The 25,895-nt window shown below is 47.0% G+C and overlaps 1 protein-coding gene across 6 annotated transcripts in view, besides 6 other annotated features; it reads right to left on the bottom strand.

Annotated features, from left to right (window-relative positions):
• SPATA13 (spermatogenesis associated 13) overlaps positions 1-25,895 on the bottom strand; it is a 327,268-nt gene that overhangs the window by 10,953 nt on the left and 290,420 nt on the right. For 3 of the 6 annotated variants that reach the window (NM_001286792.2, NM_001166271.3, NM_153023.4), the window contains 6 exons: positions 11,846-11,982; positions 9,724-9,903; positions 9,167-9,352; positions 6,939-7,118; positions 5,233-5,465; positions 1,249-1,378 (listed from right to left, as the gene is read on the bottom strand). In NM_001286792.2, the coding sequence (NP_001273721.1) occupies positions 1,249-1,378; positions 5,233-5,465; positions 6,939-7,118; positions 9,167-9,352; positions 9,724-9,903; positions 11,846-11,982 (1,046 nt within the window). Of the gene's footprint in view, positions 1-1,248; positions 1,379-5,232; positions 5,466-6,938; positions 7,119-9,166; positions 9,353-9,723; positions 9,904-11,845; positions 11,983-17,295; positions 17,504-25,204; positions 25,368-25,895 lie in introns of those variants that run through there. The other 3 variants (NM_001286794.2, NM_001286795.2, NM_001286793.2) reach the window with 3 other exon arrangements.
• Positions 14,225-14,724: an enhancer, noted in NCBI's record as "H3K4me1 hESC enhancer chr13:24855531-24856030 (GRCh37/hg19 assembly coordinates)". NCBI's record gives its function as "activates a minimal SCP1, AML or CMV promoter by ChIP-STARR-seq in primed H9 embryonic stem cells {active_cell/tissue: H9 hESC(primed)}" and the evidence as "EXISTENCE:reporter gene assay evidence [ECO:0000049][PMID:30033119]".
• Positions 15,058-15,137: a silencer, noted in NCBI's record as "silent region_5177". NCBI's record gives its function as "represses an Ori minimal core promoter by ATAC-STARR-seq in GM12878 lymphoblastoid cells {active_cell/tissue: GM12878}" and the evidence as "EXISTENCE:reporter gene assay evidence [ECO:0000049][PMID:35858748]".
• Positions 20,847-20,906: an enhancer, noted in NCBI's record as "active region_7477". NCBI's record gives its function as "activates an Ori minimal core promoter by ATAC-STARR-seq in GM12878 lymphoblastoid cells {active_cell/tissue: GM12878}" and the evidence as "EXISTENCE:reporter gene assay evidence [ECO:0000049][PMID:35858748]".
• Positions 21,207-21,496: an enhancer, noted in NCBI's record as "active region_7476". NCBI's record gives its function as "activates an Ori minimal core promoter by ATAC-STARR-seq in GM12878 lymphoblastoid cells {active_cell/tissue: GM12878}" and the evidence as "EXISTENCE:reporter gene assay evidence [ECO:0000049][PMID:35858748]".
• Positions 24,605-24,724: an enhancer, noted in NCBI's record as "active region_7475". NCBI's record gives its function as "activates an Ori minimal core promoter by ATAC-STARR-seq in GM12878 lymphoblastoid cells {active_cell/tissue: GM12878}" and the evidence as "EXISTENCE:reporter gene assay evidence [ECO:0000049][PMID:35858748]".
• Positions 25,485-25,624: an enhancer, noted in NCBI's record as "active region_7474". NCBI's record gives its function as "activates an Ori minimal core promoter by ATAC-STARR-seq in GM12878 lymphoblastoid cells {active_cell/tissue: GM12878}" and the evidence as "EXISTENCE:reporter gene assay evidence [ECO:0000049][PMID:35858748]".

Below are 25,895 nucleotides of genomic sequence, written 5' to 3'. Positions count from 1 at the left end.
AACCTAACTTCTTGCTCCAAACTTTCTCAGTCCTCTGGGAGAGTGAGTTCTGACCAATTAATAGATGTAAAATCAATGTAGCTTGGTCTAAAAACAATCTGAATGGCATCTGCTTGTTGTTCTTAATTTAATGGCGGTAGAGCACAGTGATCACCAGCACGGACTTTGAAGCCAGGGTGCCTGCTTGGGTTTGAATCCAGCTCTGCTACTTTTGAGCTGTGTGGTCTTGGGCAAGTTATTTAACCTTTCTGTGCTTCAGTTTTCCCATCTGTTAAATGGGTATAATAATAGTGCTTACTTCATAGGATGGTGTAGAGGATTAAATGAGTTCATATATGTACAAATGGCTCAGATCAGTGCCATTCAGACATGTGGTAAACACATACAGGTGCTATTGTCACTGTTTTTATGAATACAGAGAGAGAGAGAGAGAGAGAGAGAGAGAGTGAGAATTTGTTGGACCATTATTACAGGCATTGTATTTGTGGTCTTTCCTTTTTTTTTTGAGACGGAGTCTTGCTCTGTCACCCAGACTAGAGTGCAGGGGCACGATCACGGCTCACTGCAGCCTCAACCTCCTAGGCTCAAGTGATCCTTTCAACTCAGCCTCCCGAGTAGCCAGGAATACATGTGTATGCCACCATGCCTGGCTGATTTTTTTTACTTTTTGTAGAGATGGGGTCTTGCCATGTTGCCCAGGCTAGTCTCAAACTCCTGGGCTCAAGCGATTCTCACACTTTGGCCTCCCAAAGTGCTGGGATTACAGGTGTGAGCCACTGTGCCTGGCCTGTACTGTTTTATAAAATGCTCACGGTAGCCTATGAGGTAGGTAATATTTTCCTCCCCAATTTATAAGATAAAAAAATTAATCTTGGCCAGATCATACAGGATTCACATGTGGGCAGGGACTCCAGAGTCCCCCATACTTCTACTACTATGTTATGTGGCTGCAACTGAAATGCCCTCTACTGTTCCCACGGTACTCCCTCTACGAGGAGAGAGAGAGGCTCAGCAATAAATTAACTGCAGATACTCTTCAGATTTTATTTCTTATGGGAGTGGGGTATAAAGTAGTCGACTGTTAAATTCAACAGTATGCCTCGAAATACATTTACCATTAATGGTATATGTACCATTAAAGCCAAGAATATAAGATATTGACCACAGGATATTAAAGTGCATCTGCACCAGATCAAAGGTGCGGGAAGGGCGAGTGGCATGGGATCATGTGGGGTGCTTTCCACTTACCTCCCAGCCCACGATAGACACCTGCCAGCGAGCTATCTTGTCGATGCTCTCCAGCTTGCGCTTGCGCTCGTTGATCAGACAGGCCACATTCTTCATGGCCTCATATGCTGCCTTTATGTTGCTGTAATCACTGCAAGATGGGAGGTTAATTTTAATCACATAACATGCACCTTACAAATGAGGACTGGCAAAATAATCCACTGGGGCGCTTCTTCGTATACGAATGCTCTAGACAAAGTGACATTTACGTCATTAGCCACTGTTTCCCTTTTTCTTGTTCCCTTGTGAATAGACTACAGTCTGCCATAGATTAAGGGAGCTGACCCAGTGCAATTCAGAATTCTTTGGAATAAAAATGTTTTCACTCATTTCCCAGAAATTACAATGAATGACAGTAAATGCCACAAATAAGTAAGTTTTAGTCACGGTGACAATGGGTGACTTTCATTAATACAGAAAGAACAGTCTTTATTATGGCTCTGATTCTCATATAACCACTCTTGCTACATAAAGTACTTTAAAAATCACTAACCATTTTCAACAGTGACTATTTGCTCTGAGTCTTCATCTTTTATGCTGTTCGGGAAAGGACAGGAGAGGACAGGCACCTGAAGTGGTGAGTTACGGAAATGCCAGTATGGCATTCGCCTCACCAACAGATCTTCCTTTCTGGTGCTTTCCGTCCACCACAGTCACGTCAAGCTAAAATGTTCTCCCCAGGAGGGCCCCGCTCCCAAGCCCGCTAAAACTGTAGGCACCGGAAAAGCAGAAACTACAGTTTTAATCTACACACAGGCTAGCACAGAGCATGTCCAGTATCTGCAAGCTTCCCATTCAGGTTTTGCTCAGCGTTAATAATGCGGGGCCATGGAGACCAACCATCCAGCTAATGAGCTATATTTTCCGCTTTCCCGTGGCAACTTACAGCACAGACAGGGCCACTCCATCACAGCTGGAATGAATTAGAATCCTCCTGCGCAGCCATGGGAAAGCCTTGAAAGCAGATTCTATTGTCTATTTACCAAACACAATTCATCCCAGCTCCTGTGAAGTCCCCAGACACTGCCCACCAAGCAGACCCTGCTGTCTTCAGAGACGCCCATTCACACCCAGAAGTGGCGCAGAGAGCAGGAGCAAGAATGACACCAGGGACTGCCAAAATAATGGGCACAGAGCCCCCAAAGAGGCCTCCAGCAATGAAGAAAGGGTCGCAAAATAAGTTTTTCTGGACAAAACTAAATTGTAATGGTTTTTTTAAAAGAATTTTTGCTTTGTTTTACTTAAGACAAGGAAATGGACTTTCTGTCATGTCAACTAATTTTTATTTTGAAAAAACCAAAATCTGCAAATGCTCTTGGTGAAAAATGCCCTTAAAGGAAGAAAATCAACTACTGAAGAGTGAGGTGTGGACTTCTGGACCCAGCTTTCCCATCTCGGAATGTACTAAGCTGCCTGCCCACGTCTTTCAAGAAGTCTTTGCTTCTTAATTTTCTTATTAATTGTCTTTGGCTCTGACTCCTCATCATGCCATCAGGACATTTTCTTAAAAGTGTCTTTGAAAATCTGTAGAAGGTATTTACAACTATAATTTTTTTTCTTCAATTTTGTGGCTCTCTTGACTTCCCTGTTTTTTTTTTTCCACTGAACTTTTCTGATTTCTCCATCAGAAAAAGAAAAAAATATATAGCTCTCTCTTCTTTTATCTATTTCAATGAACTCCTTTTTCTAATTCCTTTAGTCCTAACTCTTTAGCTAACACCCATATCTAGTGTCTATTGTTCAGTGATCTGCTCTTATTCTTTACTTTCCAATCTAATTGTAAGAAGGCTCTCCCCACACCCTCGCCTTTTTTTTTTTTTTTTTTTTTTTTTTTGAGACAAAGTCTCACTCTGTCACCCAGGCTGGAGTGCAATGGTGCGATCTCGGCTCATTGCAACCTCCGCCTCCTGGGTTCAAGCGATTTTCGTGCCTCAGCCTCCCAATTAGCTAGGATTACAGGTGCCCGCCACCATGCCCAGCTAATTTTTGCATTTTAGTAGAGATGGGATTTCACCATTTGGCCAGGCTGGTCTCAAACTCCTGACCTCATGTGATCCACCCGTTTCGGCCTCCCAAAATGGTGGGATTACAGACGTGAGCCATGGCGCCCGGCCAGAAGTTTCCTTTTTTAAGTCTGTCTCTCCACAGGAGTTCAGAGGCAGAGAGGACAAAATAATGATTCACTCTCCACTCCCTGCAGGAAGATATTTAGCTGCTGAAACCCAGAACTGTTGTGGTTTGCCATAGAAATTTCCTCCTGGTACAATCCCTTCCCTCTTCCTCTTCTCATTAGGACCCTTTGAGATGACCCTCTCCAGAGCTGCAGGTGCAGTTAAAGACTTTGTGTCAGGGGCATGGACCCTGTTTCGATTCTCATCTAAAAGAGTCAGCTTTAGCCTAGACCCCTGCGCCCCTGGGTAGCCTGGCTTGGAGCCTGGCACATAGCAGTTGCCCTATGACTATCCTGTCCCTGCTGGCCAGGTGAGAACTCAGAATTAGCCAAGCACTGCTACCTTGAGGTACCCAACAGCTGGGCTGTGCTGTGATGACATTTTCCCATGGCATGGAAAATGGGCATGCACATTCCAATGCTGAATGGGTGACATGCCTAATGTATAACCACACAAAGGCTTCTGTGCATGCACGAAATGATGGTTGGCTATTAAGGAAACAAAGGGTAACTTTTGGCTCCCCCAGAAGAGATCATATAGCTAGGGAACAAGGGCGTGAGAAGAATCCAGAAACAACCAAGGCAGATAATAAAGACAGAGAGAGGCCGGGCGCGGTGGCTCACGCCTGTAATCCCAGCACTTTGGGAGGCCGAGGCGGGTGGATCATGAGGTCAGGAGATCGAGACCATCCTGGCTAACAAGGTGAAACCCCGTCTCTACTAAAAATACAAAAAATTAGCCGGGCGCGGTGGCGGGCGCCTGTAGTCCCAGCTACTCGGGAGGCTGAGGCAGGAGAATGGCGTGAACCCGGGAAGCGGAGCTTGCAGTGAGCCGAGATTGCGCCACTGCAGTCCGCAGTCCGGCCTGGGCGACAGAACGAGACTCCGTCTCAAAAAAAAAAATAAAAAAATAAAAAAATAAAGACAGAGAGAGAGTGTATTTTGTTGCTTGTTGTTCAGGAGAAGCCGAGATCCAAACAACAGAAGTGTGAGTAACAAGAAGAGCTTAGTCAGGCACCAAGGAAGCTCGAAGGGAGATGCAGCATTCAGGTAAGCATGGAAGGAAGCCCTGTGCTCCCAGCAGGAGGGAACAGGGAGAAGACCAGAGAGTCGGCACCCCGGTGGGTAGGGAACGGCTCAGGGCCCAGCAGGTGCCCAATGCCCTGGTCTTCTCAGCTGCCCCATATGGGTTTGCACCCCTGACAATCCACACCCTTTTACAGTTCAAGCTTGTGTGTGCCCTCACCCCTTCTAAATAGAGAAGGGGTTGCTAAATAGAGACTGCTTAACAACAAGTAACTTTAGGTAAGCCACTAGTAAGTAATGTTTCTGCCATAAAGAATCCTGCTCTGAGCCGAGCTGCTGTACGTCAACCTCAAGGGTACAGGAGAGAACCAGAGTTATGGCTTTCCATTCACACTGGTCTGTTTCCCTCAGAAACCGTCTTTACTAACTACTGAGTACTCAAAGACATGTTTATAAAATACAGGTAAGCAACATAACAATACAACAAAAGCCGCCATGCACTCGTGGCACAGCTCACGAATGGCCCTTGTGTCTTCATAGCTCTAGGACTGGATATCCTGGAGGCTCTTCAACCACTCTATTTCAATAGTTAATTGCACACATTCTAAACAACCTGAAAACTTCTCCCATGGAGCTCCCAAAGTGTTAAGGCTGACACTGAAGCCCACCTATCACTGCCTGGAGTTAAGAGCTGCCTACGGGTAATGGCAGCAGTGCTCTCACCTGTGCCCCTTACCCATGCCCCTCACCCGTGTTCCTGTGTGGTATACTTGAGCAGCTCGGCCAGCTGCAGCGGGTATTTGCAGATCTTCTGCACTGGTGTGAGCAGGAACCCGTCGATGGCGATGTCAATCATCTGCTGCAGCAGGCGGCAGGCTTCAAAGAAATGTCTGTACTTGCCCTGCTTCATGAGGTTGGCGAGCTCCAGGCAGGCGCCCGGGTGGTTGTTGCAGTACTCGGAATAGATGGCAAAGCCCTCTTGCTGGGAAGGAAAAGTACAGCTTCGTCAGCTTCTGGGGTGCCTCTGGGACATGACAAAGACAGGCATCATCCCAGCCCTCTCTAAGGGACACTCCTAGAAAGGAGGAAGATGGACTACTGCAAGAAGGACAGGGCATGAAATCCGCTGGCACCCAAGCTGCCCTGCCATGGTTTCCGCAAGCGTTATCTGGCCGGCGAGAAGGGGTGCTTCAGCAGGCTCCTGAGGGGGTTGGGGATGAGGCTGCCCTGGAACTCAGCACCCTGGTCTCTTTCTAGCCTGCCTCACGCTCATCCTGGAAGGTGGGGAGCAGGGCCTCTAACGTCCCCCTCCCACAAATTTTTTCAACTCGCTGAAAACCATGTATGCAGTTTTAATCGTTGCTTATTCTTTGTGGTTTACAACTAGTCTTGTCAGGTTTTCCTCAAAAATGCCCATTTCAACATACCTCTCTTCCCAATTCTCTGCCGTCACCCTGGCTGGGCCCGCCAAGACCCCTTCCCTGGTGGCAGCAGTACTCCCCTGTCCTCACTGTGAGACTTACCTTCCTCATGCCACCACCTGGCCTCCAGCCTGTCCTAAGCTGGCTCCTGCAGGAACCTTCTGCACAGGCCACACAAGGAGGCCTGTGACAATGTCCCAGATATGCCCACGTCACACATGGGGCCCAGCCTCCAGCTGACTAACTTAACACAAAAACATTATGCCCAGCCACTTAAAATCTATCTGCCCCAGAGGACTCTAGACAGCTACTGAGCCCAGCACCCAGGAAGTGAAGGTGTGGTGAGGCTGTCATTGTTATTATTATTACTCTTACTGTTCCCTAGCTATTTGGGCTGGGACTAAAATCTTCCTCTGAAATCCTTTAGCGGTTAAGTAGTAATAGTCAATCATAAGTTAAAAAATGATAAATGCATGTTATCACAGGAAGGTTCTGAGGCAGTTACAGTATCACAACCATGCGTCCTGGAGCCGCATGCCCGGGTCTGCCTTCACAGATGCCTCTTACTGGTATGTGGTCTTGGGTTACTTACTCTCTGGGCCTTAGTTTCCTCATCTAGAAAGTGAGAGATAATCATATCTACCTCATAGCAATACACAAGCTAATATAAGAAAACCCTGGAAACAGTGCCTGAAATGTAATAGACACTTCCTGGATATTATTAGGAAGGACTCCATAGTTCTTATGGCATAACCCTTAGAAATTTTTAAAAAGTAATTACTCCAAATGTAACCCCCTAATTCCAGACTACATAAAAGGATTTTGAAAAAATGAATTTGGGACATTTAGACAAGATTAACTATACAGATTTTGTTTATATGATAAGCATATAAGATAGAAGAAACATCTCCTTTCTATGGAAGATTCATCTAGCAAACAAACAATAAAACAAAAGAGACTCCTGTTTTCTGTGGAGATGCACTTCAAAATTATGTAAGCAGATGTTATTAATAATGAAGTAAAGGGTGACGCACATTTTGAAGAAAGCAAGATCCTATTTCACTTAAGTGAGGTTCCTCTTTGTTGTACTGTTTCTCAAGGTCTTTCAGAAACTTTCTTTGGAATTTGTAAATATCTTCAATGTTTCCAAAAATAGTGGCTAGCTGCGCAACGGTGAACATTCCTGTGTGCTTGCGGCACTGTCGGATATAGCCCTGCAAAATACAGAAGTAATACTTTTTATTTGGAAATCCAAATAAATTATTTGAATAGTACAGCTTTTGTAGGCCTAAAGCCATGAACTTGGAATGAATTTTAATTAAAAAGACTCTATGAGTCTCTGATGAGGTCATCGTACTTCCATGACTGCAATTTGCCATAGGTGTTTTAAAATAAAAAGAAAGCAAAAAGGCTCATGCGGTTGGATTTAGGATCCAATAAACCATATAATGTTTCCAGAAACAAGTTTCAAATACCAGAGCTCAAAAATTGGTGTCGTCACGTGTTTTTCCAAACTCTTCAGGTAATCATTCTCCCAACCCTAATTCCATTTCACAGCCCAGGAGACTTGTCAAATGCAGAATGTCACTGCTTGCTGAATAGCCCATGCAGCTCTGTGCACTGTTCATCAGGGCAAGGATTCCTCTTACCCAAGGATTCCACCAGCACCGCCTTTCTATGGACAGCATCAATCTGTGGGTCTTTAATCTGAGGCTTGCACTAATTATCTATGTGCAACACCATGGCTATACTATGGCTTAGGTAGGAGCTAGTGGGATAAGAAGAAAAGGCTGTACATACATGTAACAGCTAACTCAAAAAGAGTTATCATGACATTCAGTAGAATAAACTGACCATGGAGTAAAACACATACCAATGACTACTTGGTATGAATTTTAACAGGAAAACAATATAATGTAATAGTTCAGAAAAGGATAGGTTCTGGGGCAGACTGCCTGGGTTTAAATCCAATCCCACCACTTAACTTCTCTGTGCCTTTGTTTCCCCATCTGCAATGGGGGCTAACAGGACCTGCTCAGGGGGAATGCTGTGGTAGCTGAGTTAATCCAGGTGAGGGGTGACAAACAGTCAATGCTCAATAATCATGGGCACTTCCTCTTATTTCCCTAAATGGCACTGCAGACCTGCTTCTTTCGCCACACACTCATACAGAACGAGATGGCTGGCACAAAGAAGCTAAACACTGGCATGTCCACACAGCTGGCTAATCCGATTAGAGAACGGGCAGTTCTCTGACTTCAACCTGTCTTCAGCACTGAATGGTCAGCGTTGAACTGATAGTGCAGATATCAGCATTTACAGCTAGGAGAGCCGTAATGAGCAGACAGGGCGAACAGCAGTGTAGTGTGATGCTCGTACACAATCCATAGAAGCACAAAATACCACAGGAAGACAAAACCTTTCAGGTGCACCTCTACTAATGACAAGTTCTCTGAAATCAGGATAAAACTATAAAATAAAATTTGTTGCCAAGTAGAATAGCATGACAATAGAATATAGCCTTTCATATGACCAATATAAAACCAGCATTTTTTCCCATCTGTGTCTAAATGACTCAGGATCTCATCTGTCAGTTGGTGATTAGATGCAGCGGGGTTGCAGATAGTGACAAACCTTTGACTCTTTGTAAAATCAAGTGAGGGTGTTGCCTTCTATGAAAGCCATTCTTTTCAAATAATCTCAGGAATTAGGTCCTGATAGAGATAGTTGCAGAGTGCACTTAAGAGAGGGGCCGGGCACACTGGCTCACGCCTCTAATCCCAGCACTTTGAGAAATCAAGGCAGGAAAAGTGCTTCAGTCCATGAGTTCGTGACCAGCCTCGGCAACGCAGTGAGACCCTATCTCTATATAAAATTTAGAAAATTAGCTGGGTGTGGTGATGCATGCCTGTAGCCCTAGCTACTCGGGGGGCTGAGGAGGGAGGACTGCTTAAAGCCCAGGAGTTTGAGGCTGCAGTGAGCTATGACCACGCCACTGTACTCCAGTCTGCATGACAGAGCAAGACCCTATCTCTAAGAAAAGCCTTGTCTCTGAAAAGAGACCCTGACTCTAAAAAACCTCCACCAACAGCTAGGACAGCCGCAGCACTCAGACTTAGCAGTGCAGACAGCAGAGGCGGAGAAATGAGCATACATGTGGGAGCCTGATGGGGGGGCGGGGGGTGGAGGTGGGGAGAAAGCCCAGGCACCTCATGCAGCCTCATACTGTGACCCTCAGTGAGGTCCCAGCCTGGCGTCCCACCTCACAGATGTCCCTGAGGTGTTTGATGTACACCCGCTCGGTGTCCATGATCTCCCGGATGACGTTGGTCCGCATCTGCTGCTTGTTCTCACAGTGTCTGTGGCGGCTCTGGCTGGCCTCCTCGTCCTGCTCCTCACTGGGGGTGCTGCTGGAGTTTTCCGACAGCTCTTCCTGATTCACTCGCAACTGCAACCCACATACAGGGGACAGGTGACTTGGGGCAGGGGAGGGCAGCATGGAGCAGAGGCAGGAGACCTCCCAGGTTCCTACTTTCCTGTGACCTGTTAGGAAGGCAGCCTGGCCCTCGCCTGAGTCTCATGGCCTCAGCAGGGCTGCGGCTATGCCAGCAGGCACGAGGACCACAGAGAAACACCGAGCAACTCGCTTGCCTGCCTTTAACATTTTTGCTCCGACCCAGCCTAATTTCTTACAGGTGTGACTTGCATGTCAGATATCAATTACAAAAGAGCTGACCTGATAAAAGGCGAGTTCTGACCTGAAAGGATCCTGCAGCTCCCCCAGGTACTTTGGAAAAGCTGCAAGCACCCCACACTTACTCTGACGAAGCTCGCGGGGAACCAGGCTTCCTTATCTTCACTGCGGCCCCACCACCAGTCCTTGTTGGAGGCTTCCAGAACCTGGATGACATCCCCGGCTTTGAAGCCCAGTTCCTGGTCATCCATGGTCACATGGTCCCACAGGGCTTCTGCGCAGACCACGTTGCCATCACTGATCAGCTGAAAGGAGACAGTGGGGTGCGCTCAGCATAGAGCACGAGTGGGCGGGATGGTGAGGGAGCCACTAGGTGCACTCTCTCAGGGTGACACTGGTATCCTCTCACTTGGATATGCTGGTGGCATTTGGTCCACACTGACTATGTGACTGGTTACACAAAGAGAACCCAGGAGAACAGACTAAGAAAAAACAAAGTCAGGAGGACATCTCTACCTGCTTTTAAAGAAAGCGCTTAAACTGGGCGTGGTGACTCACACCTGTAATCCCAGCACTTTGGGAGGCCAAGGCGGGTGGATCACCTGAGGTCAAGAATTCAAGACCAGCCCAACCAAGATGGTGAAACCCCATCTCTACTAAAAATACAAAAATTAGCCAGGCGTGGTGGTGGGCTCCTGTAATCCCAGCTACTCGGGAGGCTGAGGCTGGAGAATCACTTGAACTCAGGTGGTGGAGGTTGCAGTGAGCGGAGATCGTGCCATTGCACTCCAGTCTGGGAACAAGAGCAAAACTCTGTCTCAAAAAAAAAAAAAAAAAAGCCAGATGTGGTGGCACATGTCTGTAATCCCAGCTACTTGGGAGGCTGAGGCAGGAGAATTGCTTGAACCTGGAAGGCGGAGGTGCAGTGAGCCGAGATTACATCACTGCACTCCAGCCTGGGCAACAAGAGCAAAATGCAAGAAAAAAGGGAGGGAGGGAGGGAGGAAGGCAGGCAGGCAGGCAGGCCCCTTTTTAAAAAAGTACTAGCTGCTCACTTAGCAGCAGGTCAGTTATCTAGCAAACTTGAATTCTGAAATATTTGCTCCAAAAATGGTTTCTGGCAGCCGTACTAGATGTCACAGAGCCAAGCCTACTAAAGTTATGCACATATGCTATTGGAAGTCCCTCACATCTCCCTCCAGTGTGGATCATTCATACTTTATTCACAATTCGAGTAAGTTTTGCATCTAACTTTACACTTTACAGCAATTGAAGAGAACATAGCATGATCTTGAGATCGTTAACAATTAAAAAGTCAGGAACAGATGTGGCTCCTCCATCCCCTGGCCACGGGAGCAGGTGATTTTGCCCATCTCCTTAGCGCCCAACGATACACATCACTGGCCATCTCAGTAAAGACGCTGACTCACTAAGGAGTTATGCTCCACACGTTCTGCTCAAGAATGCCAAAAGCTGGAGGTATCTTCCAGAATGATTTCCTAAAAAAAAAGCTAAAGCTGCAGGGTGGCCAAAGGAACACCAGATTTGGAGGGAGAAATACATGGGTGCCTCCAGCTCTGCCATTCGCCAGCCAGTAATTAGACATCTTTCCTTAGAGCGTTGATGAAAATGTGGATAATAACCATAATGTCCGCTTCTTAGATCAGTTGTGAGAATTACATGAGATAGTGGAGGGGAGGGTATTCTTTATCAAGTGGAAAGCACTGGCCGAACACTGATGGGGAGCTGCTGTTCCTTACCTAAAAAGACGAGCTGCCTCTACCCAGAAAGCTTAATCCCATATATTTTCCTGGACGAGGTCAGAGAATCACAGTGTTGTTCTTTCTTTATTTTTGAGATGGAGTCTCGCTCTGTCGCCCAGGCTGGAGTGCAGTGGTGTGCTCTCAGCTCACTGCAACCTCCGCCTCCCAGCTTCAAGCAATTCTCCCTGCCTCAGCCTCCCAAGTAGCTGGGTTTACAGGTGCGCACCATCATGCCTACCTAATTTTTTTGTATTTTTAGTAGAGACAGGGTTTCACTATGTTGGCCAGGCGGGTCTTAAACTCTTGACCACTAATGATCCACCTGCCTTGGCCTTCCAAAGTGAATCACAGTGTTGTTTTAATCAGAGTTCCAGGTTTTCGGACATGCTTAGTAAAGAAGAACTAGGGAACAAAGTCAGAAGTGGTTGTGGACCCTGAAAATCAGGTATCCCGTATCCACTACTGTCGTGTGGAATTCCAGTACCTCATTGATGGCCAGCTGCTCCCCGCCGGGCTGCAGGTACCGAGGGCTGGCCTGGCAGAGGTCTTCATAGCTGAAGTCCTCCTCACTACCGTTGTCATCCACTAAGGCAGAGGGCTCAGTACCTCCATCTGAAGAAACTAAAACATACAAAACAAAGGCATGATTTAAAAGACACAGCTAACAAGATTTTTTCATATGATGAAAAAATTTGGTAACATACTCCCAAGGGAAGGTAATCATCTGCATCTTACTCAGAATAAGAAACTATTAGAAAATGTCTACATTACTCCAAAGTTAAGAGCTGCAGTTAAGTGTGACATTAAGTGAGAGGTGGAATGTTAAAGAGTGTATTGCCAACACAATACCATTTGCAGAGTGAAGACCATCAGGATATTATGTGTAATTTAGTTGGAAGTCTGTGCTCCAAACTGGATATTAACAACATAAATATAGATAACAATGCTGCCAAGCAATGTGCTGGAAAGCTGAGGAGGTAAAAAAGATGAAAAAGATGATCCAATATTCTGCTTCCATCCTTTATCTGCAAGGCAACAGTATTACTAAAACCAGTACATCCCAACAGTGTCTTGAGTAGAAAAGTGCCATCATTCTTACTCTCTGTACATATTTGAAAGGCTTGGAACTCAAAATATGAGAATGAGGAATTATATAGTACTTTTACCAGAAAAGAGAGAGAAAGATCTTTTAAGGATGGTGCAGCTTTTTAGATTGGCCACCCTGCTAGTCAGATTTTCTTTCTTGGGAAAATGAGCCACCCTTGGCAAAGCCAACAATCTGTCACTGAGCAGTCTCTTCTTTCAGACTCATGGCCTCAGTCCTCCTGTGCAAGTTCAGGGATGTCTCCATCACTGTTTCTCTACTTGATCTTAGCCAAAAGTCCAAGAAGCAATCTATCAGTATTTTTTCCAACGGAATGACTGTCAGGTGCTGGGGACAGAAAGCTATACAACAGATGACCCTTGTCTTTAAGGGGATGCAATAAAACCCGAATTCTGATGACTGCAGCCAGGAAGTGGAAATATAATAGGGAGAGTCTGAAGCAAGTGGCAGGATTTTAAAGAGGAAGGGATCCTCCCCAGTCAGGGAAAGGCTTCCTGGAAGAGGAGCAGGCGACTCAGAACAGTGCGATGGCCCGATTGCAAATCACAGGTGGCTTGATTCGAAGCACATGCTCCACAGACTCCCTGCACATCTCATGAAAGACAAGACTGCAAAGATCGGGGGCACACAGAAGGGTCTCACAGGCTAGAGTTCATCCTGGGCTGCTGTTCCAGGGTTTGGAGAAAGGAAGCCACAGGACCTAAGTAGAGTCCCCTCATATGACAGAAAGAGAAGAGGTTTTAGGGTCACAGAGTCTCGTCTGAATTCTGGTCCTGCCCTTCTGTGGGCATGGGACCTAAATCAAGTGACTGCATTTCTCTGAGCTTCATGTCCTTCTTTTTGAAGAATCAGGCCACAGAATGCAGGTGAAACTTTTAGCATCCTTGACAAGTAGCTGGAACTCCACAGAGAGTGCTACTGTGGTGATGGTGTCCCGCACGATGAGGGCTGGGCTAATGACAGACTTTGCTACGACGTGGAGGAAGAGCTGTTGGGGCAGAGCCTGGGGCCAGGGAAGCCAGCTGGGGAGAACACAGGTTAGTGGGAGTGGGCAGCAACAAGAGCTGCCCGAGGAAATGGCATCAGGAACTGAGATCCATGTTGGGAGGCCAAGCTCATGCCTGCAGCAACAGAGATACAGTCAAGGATGTTTTGGAAAAATTCCAAGTTCCCTGGAGATTTAACAAAAAGCAGAAGCCTGAGGGAGAAGCTGGTGTGCCAGCAAGGACAGAGGGCTGGCTGAAGGTCGCCCTGGGATGGTGCTCCATGGGCTTGCTTTCCTCAAGGACTTGGCAAATCCACGTTTCTAGTTACTTGACTAGAAAAGGATGGGTCTGGTTTCTGACTGAAGAGTTCTTTCTTGGGGAGATGTTTTATATTCGGATCAATCTAACCTGCATTTTCTATGCACAGTTCATCTTACCTGCACTGGCCATGTGCCAGGTGCTCGGCAGACACACGTCCAGCCCCAGACTCCCACCCCCCACCATCATGCTTAGCCTCCTGCTCCCCTTATGCCTCTCCTCCCTTCCCTCCCCTCATCACTTCAGCCACACTGCTGTCACAAGCAACCAATTCTGTAAATAGAGCCCAGGAGTCTGGCACTAGAACAATGATAAACATGGAAAAAGATCCACAATAATGGGGGTAATCAACACTGCAGAAGTAGTATTTCATGCACCAGCATTTTAGGTCTTCCTTGCCAAGCACAGACAGGGCTGTCATGATGAGGAGGAGTTCAAGCTCATGCACTGGTGATGCACGGAGCTCTTGAAGCAGGACGGAGGGAAAGCAGGAAGGTGTGCACGTGCTGCCAGCGGCGCCTCTCCCAGCCCGGCCCCAGCCCCTCTCTCAGACTGTGCTCAGGCCACCTCCCACCTGGCAGCCCCAGTCCTGTAAGCCTGAGCTCTGGACACAGCACCTGTGAGTGGTGCCCACTGAGCTGGGTCTGCTCATGGGCTCTGGCTTTCCAGTTGCTTCCCCCTCTGCCTGGGGTGCCCCTCTCAGAGAAACCCCGACATCCCAGCCACCATCACCTCCTTTCCAGAACCCTTCTGTGATTCCAGGAGAACCAGCTGCTTACGTCCATGACAGCACACGCCACATTGAGGCATGGCCCATGGGTCCGCACCTGTGCCCCAGCCGTGAAACCACCCAGACAGGTGCGCCGGACACCGCGACAGCCAGGGAACCTTGGAGCAGCTGACAATGGAAGCCAGGGGAGAGCTCTCAGTGTGGACAAAGTCAGGGTTCCAGGCTCTGAGTGCATGGTGCCAGTCACCCTCTACCCACCTCCACTCCCCTGCCTGGGCCCATCCCCAGTTTTGGTCAGGAAAGGTCAGGGCCTGTGTCTGTGAGGAAAAAGTGAAAGTGAGCTGTCTAAGAGACCAAGAGACGGGGTTGGAGGGGGAGGAGTAAATTCCCGGGCCTAAGCACAAAGCCAAGAGGCAGAAGAAAGCGCTCCACAGCCTTGGTCTTGCCTTCTGGGCCCTAGCTTTCTTACCTGCTCATTAAAGGAGAGGGGACGGTTGCCAGGGGCATGGCAGGGCCTGGCGCCTCAGGAGAAGGGAGTGCACCCTGGGAGCACGGGTGGGTGGGCAGCAGGGAGCCAGCTATGCATGTGTGTACCCATGTCTGTCTGGCTGGGGGTGTGGCTGGAGGCCTTGAGAAAGCCAGACATGTGCTGTCTGAGAAACACGGGAGCCTGAACAACGCATGGTGACTGTTTCGTTTTAAATGTAACTTCTGCTTCCTATGCTAGGCCAGGGTGCGTACAGTCGGAGAGCAGGAGGTCACCTAGTCTAGTATGCTTTGCTGGTGTGTGAGTTTGGGGGTGGGTTGGGGGATGTCTTGAGGAAGCACATCATTTTTTTCATGCATGAGTGTGTTTTAGACTCCAAGGGAAACAACACTGAAGACAAAGGCCTTCTCTAACCCTGGAGCGGCTGCCCAGACCACGAGGCCCAAGAACTGTGCTGCTTACTGGCCGAGATATCCTGATGCTCCTGGGTGAGGAGCATATACACAAAGTCTGGGTGTCTAATGCCTAAAGCAGCAGGAATCTTCCAATTTTAGCAACCACTGATCTGGCACTGTCTGGTACCAATAGCATTTTTCCTTATCAATTTAAACCGTGGTTGAGCCAAAAAAAAAAAAAAAGTGCATCTCAGTAAAATAAAGGCATTGGGGCTTCCCACCCACAGCACAGCTCTGAAAAATGACGCTTTCTCCTCGAAGAACTGAACAGTGTTTTCCAAGGGAGAATTCTTTACCATGATCTAGCTATTGCTGTGAAAATCAGTAAAGAAAGAAAAAAAGCTGGTTGTAATCATGTATAAATTCACAATTAACAGGAGTCTATTGAAAAGTTAGACCTTTACAGGAGGTACCAGGAGAAAAACCTCTGGACAGAGACACGGACTGGAAATACTGACTGCTCTCTGAGTTCTTCATAAACACTTAGCAAAACAGCTCTACCCGGGGTCGTGGTACGCACCTGTAGTCCCAGCTACTTGGGAGGCTGAGGTGGGAGGATGGCTTGAGCCTAGGATTTCCAGTCTGCAATGAGCTCTGATTGTACCACCAGACTCCAGCCTGGGCAACAGAGCAAGACTTTGCCTCAAAAGAAAAAAGTAAAGAAAAAAGACAACTCTGGCTGAGGTTAATCACAAGAGAGGTTTCAACAGCAACTGTTTCAACATCATGGATTAGTAGTTAGCGACACTGCGGAAGCAAGATGGCTTGAAGCGCTCATGGGTGGGCTGACTCAGTCCTGGCCAGGAGATGGGGGGCAGAGGCCAGGGGCAAGAGACTTGAAACATGGACGAGGGAAAGTCATGGAGCCTGGAGTGAAAATTCCTGGGTGAATGTCCTTGCTTCACTAACTTCCTAACTAAATGACCTTGGTGCAAGTCACTTCAGCTCTTTGAGCTTCAGTTTTCCCATCTGTAAAGCAGGCATTAGCCTGTATGTTTTATCTATTCAGAGGTTATTCTTCCACCTCTCACATCCCACGACCCACTCACTGGCAGATCTGATTCAAGTTCCTGAAAGTGTCCAGGATCTGGCTACCTCTTACCCCTCTGCCACCACTCAAGCCTGGGTCCCCTCCCACCACTTAAGCCTGGGTTCCCATCCAGCTTCGGGCTCCCTCCAGCAGCCCCTCCTGGTCTCCCTGCTGCCACCCCTGCCCCCGGCAGGCCATAGCTGCCAGAGCGATGCTGCCAAACCATTCCTAGACTGGATTGTGTCACTCCTCTGCTCAGAATCATCCACAGGGGAGACAGCCAAAGTTCTTGAGACCTCTCCCCAGATACACTGTGCCTCCCACCCCTCTCCAACCAATGGGCTCTTGGCTGCAAAGACCGCAGGCACTCCTTGCCCAGGGCCGCTGCTCCGTGTGCCTGACAGCCCTCCCCAGGTACACACACACTGGCTCCCTCTCTCACCTTCACCATACCACTCAAAACCACAACCCTCACTCTCACTCCACTGTCTCCCCTGGTTTAGTTTTCTCCATAGCATTTGTCACCGTCTATAATGTATTCTGTTCACTATCCAGAATGTAAGCTCCAGAAAGGCAGTAATTCTTGTCTGCTTTATTCTTAACTGTGTTCCTGCCTGGCATACATGGGAGGCAGGGAAGGAAGGAAGGAAGGGAGGGAGGGAGGGAGGGAGGGAAGGAGGGAAGGAAGGAAGGAGGGAAGGAAGGAAGGAAGGAAAGAGGGAAGGAAGGAAGGAAGGAAGGAAGGAAGGAAGGAAGGAAGGAAGGAAGGAAAGAAAAACAGCATGTGGACTTCATGCAAGGCTTTGGGGTCAGATGAACTTGCCTTCAAATGATAGCGATGCACATTTTTTTTCTTTTCTATATTTTTCTTTTTTGAGTATGAGTCCTTGGTCAAGTTTCTTTCTTTGTTTTTTCACCTGTTGAATGTGGATGATAAAACCCATCTCTCAGGGTTGTTTATACATTCTGAACAAGTACTTGTTATTGGTGTGCTTTGAGCCTCAAGTGGAATGATGATACATGAAAGCACCCTGTAAATTGAAAAACAGTATAGAATTGCAAGATGTGGCTGGGCGTGGTAGCTCATGCTTGTAATCCCAGCACTTTGGAAGACTGAGGCAGGAGGATCCCTTGAGCCCAGGAGTTTGGGACCAAGCTGGGCAACATAATAAGACCCATCTCTATAAATTAAAAAAAAATTAAAAATAGAATTGCAAGATGTTATTTTATCAGGTGCCTATAATGTGCTAGGCACTGATTTAAGCTGTGGAGATGAACCGGCTCATATAATCCTCATGACAATGCTACATGGGAGGTACTGTCAGTTGTCCCCACTTGCAGATGAGGAAACTCAAGTCCCAATAACACACAGCTGTGTGCAGCAGGCTCAGGCCATCTAACTCTTACCCACTGGGCAGAACTGTCTCCTCCAGCAGTAGCTGTTACTTGTAATAAGACAAAATGATATTAAAAACAGTGTTAGTATCCAAATCTGTGTGTTTTGCTCCCATTCTGGAGAGCAGCCGTATGTCCTGCCCTCCGTTCCCTCACTAACCCTTCCTTCCAACTACCAATCCCTGCTCCCAGTGGGGCCTGTCAAGGACCTGATTCCATTTTCTGGTTGTATCCTTTTCCCTTCACCACCCTAACTACTTTCACGATTTTAAAGTCCCTTAAAGTTAATGACTCCTGTGTTCCTGTCCCATAATTCAAGTGTGTTTTATGGAGTGGGATTTCTCAGTGTCTGATGTCTAGACAGGAAGAATCTTTGTGCTATGCTTTGATGCTTCGTCCAGGCCTGGTGGTTTTCTATGATTCCCCACGCTTACTGTCTAGGTCGCTTACCATCTTAAAGGACAGGACAGACTTAAAGGAAAGGACAGACGTTTGATTTTTGTCTTCCCAGCCCCTAGCATAGTACCTGGCATACAGAAGGCACTCAGTATGTGATTTCCAATTGAACTGCAAATTGCTGATGTGGAAACTGAGGTTCCAAGAAGTTGAGTCATTTATCAGGGCTATACAGGGGCTGGGTCCGAACCAGGATAGGAACCCAGGTCTCTCTGACTCCCACCCCTGTGCTCATCTGAGATTCTAGCTAGAAAAATCCCTCAGCCAGTCTTCATGACTCTGTTTCCCTCCCCAAGCCATCCTATATATTACTTCCAAGGTGAACTTCTTCTTTTTTTTTTTTTTTTTTTGAGACGGAGTCTTGCTCTGTTGCCCAGGCTGGAGTGCAATGGCGCGATCTCGGGTCACTGCAAGCTCCGCCTCCTAGGTTCACGCCATTCTCCTGCCTCAGCCTCCCGAGTAGCTGGGACTACAGGCGCCCGCCACCACACCCAGCTAATTTTTTGTATTTTTAGTAGAGACGTGGTTTCACCATGTTAGCCAGGATGGTCTCGATCTCCTGACCTTGTGATCCGCCCGCCTCGGCCTCCCAAAGTGCTAGGATTACAGGCGTAAGCCACCGCGCCCGGCCCAAGGTGAACTTCTTAAAACAGTGGTTTTATGATGTCACAAGAAATGACATGCGAGTTGTCTATTGCTTCATAACAAAATTCTTTTACGGTATATCTTCTCTGTAATCTGACTCCACTCTACTTGAACACTTTTTAAAGTGTCACATACTCTCAGTAGACATTGTTCAATTGAATTACGAATTGCTGATGGGGAAATAGCAATTTGCAGTTCAGCTGAAAAATCTTAGATGTAGTAGTCCACAGCGTGTCAATGCCAGCTCTGCTGGGCAGAGTTCCTCACAATGGCCAGACCCACAGGCCGGTGCTGCTGCCTTCTTCACCTCTACATGTTCCATTCCTCACTAACTTCAATAGGCTTTGAACCTCAACTACAGATGAAAGTTAATAATGATGACTTCTTATCTAAGGGAATTTTGACGCTGTAAAGCTATTATAAATTCTCAAAATGTATGTCACCAAAATCAGGAGAAATGAATGTATTATAATAATTAAAAAGTAAATTTTATTGTTTCTTTCTTCCTTTCTTTTACCATCTTAACCCTTTTTAAGCACACAGTTCCAGTTCAGCAGTGTCAAGTATATTCACACTCTTGTACGACAGAACTTTTTCATCTTGCAGAACGGCCACACATATTAAACACCAACTTCCTCTTCTTCCTCTCCTGTTCCTTGGCAACCACCTTTCCACTTTCTGTTTCTATGATGTTGACTACTTTAGATACTTCATATGAATGGGATCATACAGTATATGTCCTTTTATGGCTGGTTCATTTCACTAAGCATAATGTCCTTGACATCCATTCATGTGTACCAAGTGTTAGAACTTCCTTCTTTTTAAACACTATATAATATTCCATTGTTTGGTTAGCACTTCCATTGATTTTTAAAAAAGGAAAAAACCAAAAATATTCCATTGTGAGTATACACACCACATTCTGTTTACCTGTTTGTGGGTGAACATTTGGGCTCCTTTTACTACTTGGCTATTGTGAGTAATGTGCTACTATCTTTTTGAGACCCTGCTTACAACTCTTTAGCATACTTGATCAAATGGTAGTTCTAGTTTTAATTTTTGGAGGACTCTCCATACTGTTTTCCACATGGCTGCATCATTTCACATTCCCACCAACAGTGCGCAACAGTTCCAATTTCTCCACATTCTCACCAACCGTAGTTTCTTTTGTTGAAAAAATTGGTGTGGAAAAAACATTTTTTGGGGGAGGGGTGAGGGACAAGGTCTTGCTCTGTCGCCCAGGCTGGAGTGCTGTGGCGCGATCTCAGCTCACTGCAGCCTTTGCCTCCAGGGTTCCAGAGATTCTCCTGCCTAAGACTACCGAGTAGCTGAGATTACAGGTGCGTGCCATCACATCCAGCTAATTTTTGTATTTTTAGTAGAGATGGGGTTTCGCCATGTTGGCCAGGCTGGTCTCAAACTCCTGACCTCAGGTGATCCACCTGCCTTGGCTTCCCAAAGTGCTGGGATTACAGGCGTGAGCCACTGCACCTTGCCCAAAAAGCCATTTTTGGAAACGATCTTGTAAACAAGAAGCAAAGACTGCTCCAAATTGAAATCAGTTTTAAAACCCCAAATGCCTACATACAATCAATATGAGAGCAGACAGAGCAGGCTCTTTCTACAACACTTCCCGCAGCTTCAGTCAGGTAGAAGGAGCACACCCTTGGTCATCAAAACTGCGTGCTGACCATCAGCGCCTCTCTGACTGGGGACAATTCCAAGAGAACACATCTGTTCCACAGAGTACTATCAATTCCAAAAATGTAATAAAGTGAATTTATAATGCTCTTGTTCAATAACCATGGTTAACCATCACTCCTAGAAACACTGCCCTCTGGGGGCCCCTGATTCCTGGGGCTGCATTGGTCCTTCCCCAGTCCATCCCTTACACAAATGTCTCATTTTCCTCCCCCTCTCTGCTTTCCTCCTGGCTGCAGCTGTCAGTGAGTAGAATGCCCCAGTCCCCATTTTCAGCCCTGGCCACTTTTAGCTTTAGGAACTACTACAGAGAACAATGTGGTAGCCATAGAGGAGGTGTCATTTTTTTAAATTGGAAGGATTGTTACAAATACAGTTAGAGAAGACATCAGGAAAAAAAAAGCCCCTGACTGATAAGTGGGGGAGGGTAGTCCTGGTGAGGGTGTGATAACAGGGTGGAGGTTGAGGTGTTCTGTTAAATGAAAGGGAGGTGAGATCTAACACAGCCCTTAAACATCAGGCACTTGACAACAAGGAGACATAGATTTAGCTATTTTCATGAGGCACTCTCCAACACTGCCTAGCTAATGAGCAGCTGGTTCCCGACCAGCATCTCCCACCCAGCATCACTCCTTGGTGGGGAATTTCCCCTCCCTTGACTTCAGGGAAATTCCCCCACCCTTAAAATAATCTGCTAAAATCATGTATTTGAGAAAACCTCTTGCTGATGGCTCAGACTTCCTCAGAGTTGAGATAAGCCATTCTGACTTCCCATCTTAAAAACAGAAATGGCAAGCCCAGGCGGGCAGCTCGTGTTCACAGCTGGGAGCAGCTGTCACGGGCTGCTGCTCTGTGGGCTGAAACTATGGGTGAACCCCAAGAGCTCAGGCCACGGAGATGCACACAGAGGGAAAGAGCTGGGTCACAGGAACTGACAACGTCAAAACATGATGCACAATTTCCAGGGTCCATCCCCCTTCAGTGGTTCCCAAACACCCAGGGCCTGTGGCATCTAATCACATGGAAAATGTTTAGAAAAATAAAGATCCTCCCCTGCCCTGGGCCACTGAGTCAGGTTGGGTGGTGGTAGTGGGGAAGGATGTTGGCTGAGAATTTATTTTGAAAAGCTCCTCAAATGATTCTGACACCTGGAAAAATTTGGGAACCACTGGACCTTCAGGTTAAGCTTACTTAAACCACACCACATGCTCAGGTTGTTCTAGGACATATGCCTTTTGTTGCCTGTCCATGCAGCAAGCCACAAGTTGCAGGCAATGGATTCTGATTGCATTGGCTGGAAACCTCTGCGTTAGCCAATGTGTACCACTGAATGTTCCTTATTCCAACGAATAGGACAAAATCCTTCCATCCGTCCACGCTGACCTCTCCGCCTGGAGCAACTTTCCCACCCAAAACAGCCCATCAAATTCTGGCTCATCCCTCAAAAGTTTAACCATTGGCCGGGCGCAGTGGCTCATGCCTGTAATCTCAGCACTTTAGGAGGCTGAGGCAGGAGGATTGCTTGAGGCCAGGAGTTCAAGACCAGCCTGGGCAACATAGCAAGATCCCATCTCTATTTAAAAATAAACTTAAGGAAACAAAAACCAACCAAACAACAAACAAAAGTTGTAACCATCATTGCTTGGTGACGGTTCCATGACTTATTTTTCAGTTCCCTGATCCTCTGCCATAACAATATCTGCCTTTGATGTTCTATAAACATGTTAGACTAACCTCTTTTAAAATATGTATCGCATTTACATTATAGTTATTATTAAGTTTATATCTGTCCCTTTATATCCTGTCCCTACTCTTATCCTAGCTATGACTTTCTCAAGGACAAGGAACATGCTTAATAGTCAGTGTTGGGTGACTGAATTAAAGTATGAAATATGTTTCATGTTCCAGAATGTAAACTGTTAGTGTTGGAAAAGTCACTAGTATATCTAATCTAGACTTTCAAGCCATTCTTCACAAATAGTATTTTTCAATCTTTTAAACATGTGGACAACAATAAGATCAAAAGGAATCCTAGAAACTGACATATTAACTCTCACTAATAATCTGTTATTAATGTCTAAGGAGCTTTGAAGAATCATTCTCTTAATGTATAGCTTCACATCAGTATTCAACTTAGGGCCCTGCACCCTGGGCAGCCAACACCCCATTGGCTCCAGACCCCACAACCAAGCCAGCAGCTCCACTCCCTCCTGCTCTCAAAACTCAGCCTCTGTCCCGTCTCCAGTTCAGAGCTGGGGCGTCGTTGGCTCTGGGCTTCTTTGTATCTTGCGGTGAGCTCTTAGGTTTTACCTTTGACTTGTCCCACAGTGCCTGTCTTCTGTTCCTAGCCAGGAGCTGCTCGTCCTGGGGCTGCTGGCTCTGAGCACGGCTCCTCCCGTCCATCCTGGCTGACACCTGCCGATCCATCCTGGGCCCTCTCCTCTGCTCTGCCGCTCCCTGACAGCTCTCTGGGCTGGTGTCTCGTCAGCCCTCCCAGTTTCTGACGGCTGCCCAACTGGCTGGACAGACCTGAGCAATCACCCATCCGGCTTCCTGGCATCTTAATGTGCGCCAGGCACTGCGCTCAGCGCTGGAATAAATCCTCTTGAGAGCCTCACAAGCATCTTGGAGTGTTGCTGTCTGGTTATGAAGGAGGAAACCGTGGCTCAAAGATGTTAAGTAACTTTCCCCAAGTTGCGGGGCTGGATTCAAAGCCAGGTGTGTCTGCCAGCAAAGCGATCCTGCTATGAGCCTGTCTCAGGCTCGGCTTCAACTCACACTGACAGGAGAACAGGACAGGACAGCATAAGATGGCAGACAACCCATAAACCCGCCCTCCCTGACATGGCGTCCTCCTGGGAGCCACTAGGCAGTCCCTCAGGGTCTTTCAGAGCCCCACAACCCCTCCCCTGCCCCCTGCCCTCTCAGAGCTCTCAAAGGAAAGAAAACCCACCATAGGCAAGCTTTATTATTTGTTTTAAATATGGTGCTTGTTGTCATTTTATTACATGTATTCACTCAGTATAGCGCATATAGGAGTGGCAACAGTTTCCGCAGTGCACTGACCCAGGCCCCTCTCAGAGAGGCAGGTGAGGGACTGCTGTAGAGGGTCAAGGCCGCAGAGGGCAGATTCTGGCATGCTGTTTCTCCAGCAGCACCGAGGGAGCACCGCTCAGAGCTGGAGGCTGGGTCGGGCTTCCCTCGGCCTCCCCTGTGTGGAAGGCGGTGGAGGAATGCTGGAGGAGAGCCAGGGGCCACCTGCCCCCCACCCCTGCCCGTTCGTGCTGGCTGCACTCCCGGTGGGAATGAACACGCCCCTGCTCAAGGCCATGGGTGCAGGAACCCTGGGAGGGAGCACCCGCACGTCCGCTTCCTCCACCCAGGTCTTGCCAGTGCCGTCTCGCTAGCATTACCGAGCCCTCTCACTCATGTGGTCTGTGTTCTCAATATAGAAATCGCCAGGCAACTTTTTTTTTCCTTTTTCTAAATTTTGGCTCGTAAAATGGAGTACACACCAGTCTTGTTTTGATAATCCACCAGACACAGAAGCCGTAACCACATCCCTGCTTTCTGTCTGTCAGCAGCACAGAAACCAATCAAAACAAGGAAGAAAGCACAGACTACAAACTGTACTGCTCTGACAGGGCCCCAGGCTGCCTCGAGCTGCCATCTACGGTTCCCATTCATTTCAGGCGAGGCGCTGGCATCTATTTAGGGCAAAAACAGAGACAAGATCTGTTTCTAAAGCATCCTATTGTATCCATGTAGTGCAGCCAGGGAAAAGCCTGTCTGTGAAGTCTTGTTTTTTCTTACTTCCTTTTCAGAATGTGAGGATTAGAGTTTATGGCTTCCTAGTGTGAGAGTACAAAGTTTCTTTCACATTTAAATAGTCCAAATAGTCCAATACTCACAGAATAGACAAATAGACAATACTCACAGAAATACTAAAAAGAAAGCGGGAGATAAGGCACAAAGCAGTAAGCAAATACTGGGTAATGTCACTTTAGAAACAGGAAACTATTTTTCAAAGATCAGCTCACAGCCTTAAACCTCACACATCCTCAATTAGCAAGAAACATTCTTATACACACCACCAATAATCTATTGAATAAAGGAATTTCATGTAATAGAAGCAAAAACCAGTAACAATATCAGCAGCAAAACTAGTAACAATATCAGCAGCAAAACCCAGACCCCTTCCTCAGGAAGGATGGTTCAGGCTTGATTCTTATGATTTTCTACTCCAAACAAGCAACTGTGCCATAAACAAAACCAATTTCTTCAACTGACTATGTCCACAACTAAAACTATCCTCAGCACCCTTTACTAGAAGAGTGAGCTTTTCCCCACAGGCTCACACCTGACAAGCAGCAGAGAAAGAGAGAGAGTGAGAGAGAGAGAGAGAGTGAGAGAGAGAGAGAGAGAGTGAGAGAGAGTGGAGAGAGAGAGAGAGAGGGGAAGAACTGCAACTTGGGAAGGAAAGAGCTGAATCGGCAACATGTCACAGTACAACAATCCATTCTTTGCACACATACCCAAGTGAAGGCTTTCCAGACTCCAGAATCTTGCTATCTCCCCTCTAGCTACCATCCTTCTGTTTGGAAAACGGCAACCTTCAGAGCAGGACTGGGGTGTGACCGAGGAGCCGGTCCCCAAGCATCACAGAGGACTGCACAGGCTGGCAGCTACGGGAACTGCAGAAATCGCTTATTCACTGCTTTGACGTTGTATGCGTTCCCGGCCAGAGCCTGCCCAGAAACTGACAGCTGGCTCCACACTCCGTGTGACCAAGGGTTAGTGGCTACAGTGACATTGCGGGGGACTTCAGGAGAGAATTCTAAACTAAGGCAAAACCTATATACACCAAAGACAAACACACTCACAAGCCATCAGGTGCTGCCGAGAGCCTTCAGTGAAGGTAGGAGAAATGGTGTGTGCTGCTTTTAACTACAAAACCAAAACCTGAGTTAAACTTTCAGAGAGCTTTTCAAAAGGTATTTATTTCACAAGAGAAAAGCACAGGGGTCACTTAGTTCAAAAATACAGTTAGGATTTCACACTGTGGTATGACAAAAATTTGAGTTATGAGATTACATTAAGTTAGCTATAAATTTATGAAATCACTTTAAAAGAGTGATTTTGTTCAAAAGGTATACATGTAAAGGCATACATGTAAAGGTATACATGTAAGTTCTCTCCAGGTAATATATTCTGGGTTGTTTTTAT

This window comes from Homo sapiens, chromosome 13 (assembly GCF_000001405.40).
Source record: "Homo sapiens chromosome 13, GRCh38.p14 Primary Assembly".
NCBI lineage: Eukaryota > Metazoa > Chordata > Mammalia > Primates > Hominidae > Homo > Homo sapiens.
The sequence above is the reverse complement of the archived record's forward strand: the minus strand, read 5'-3'. Positions and strand labels throughout refer to the sequence as shown.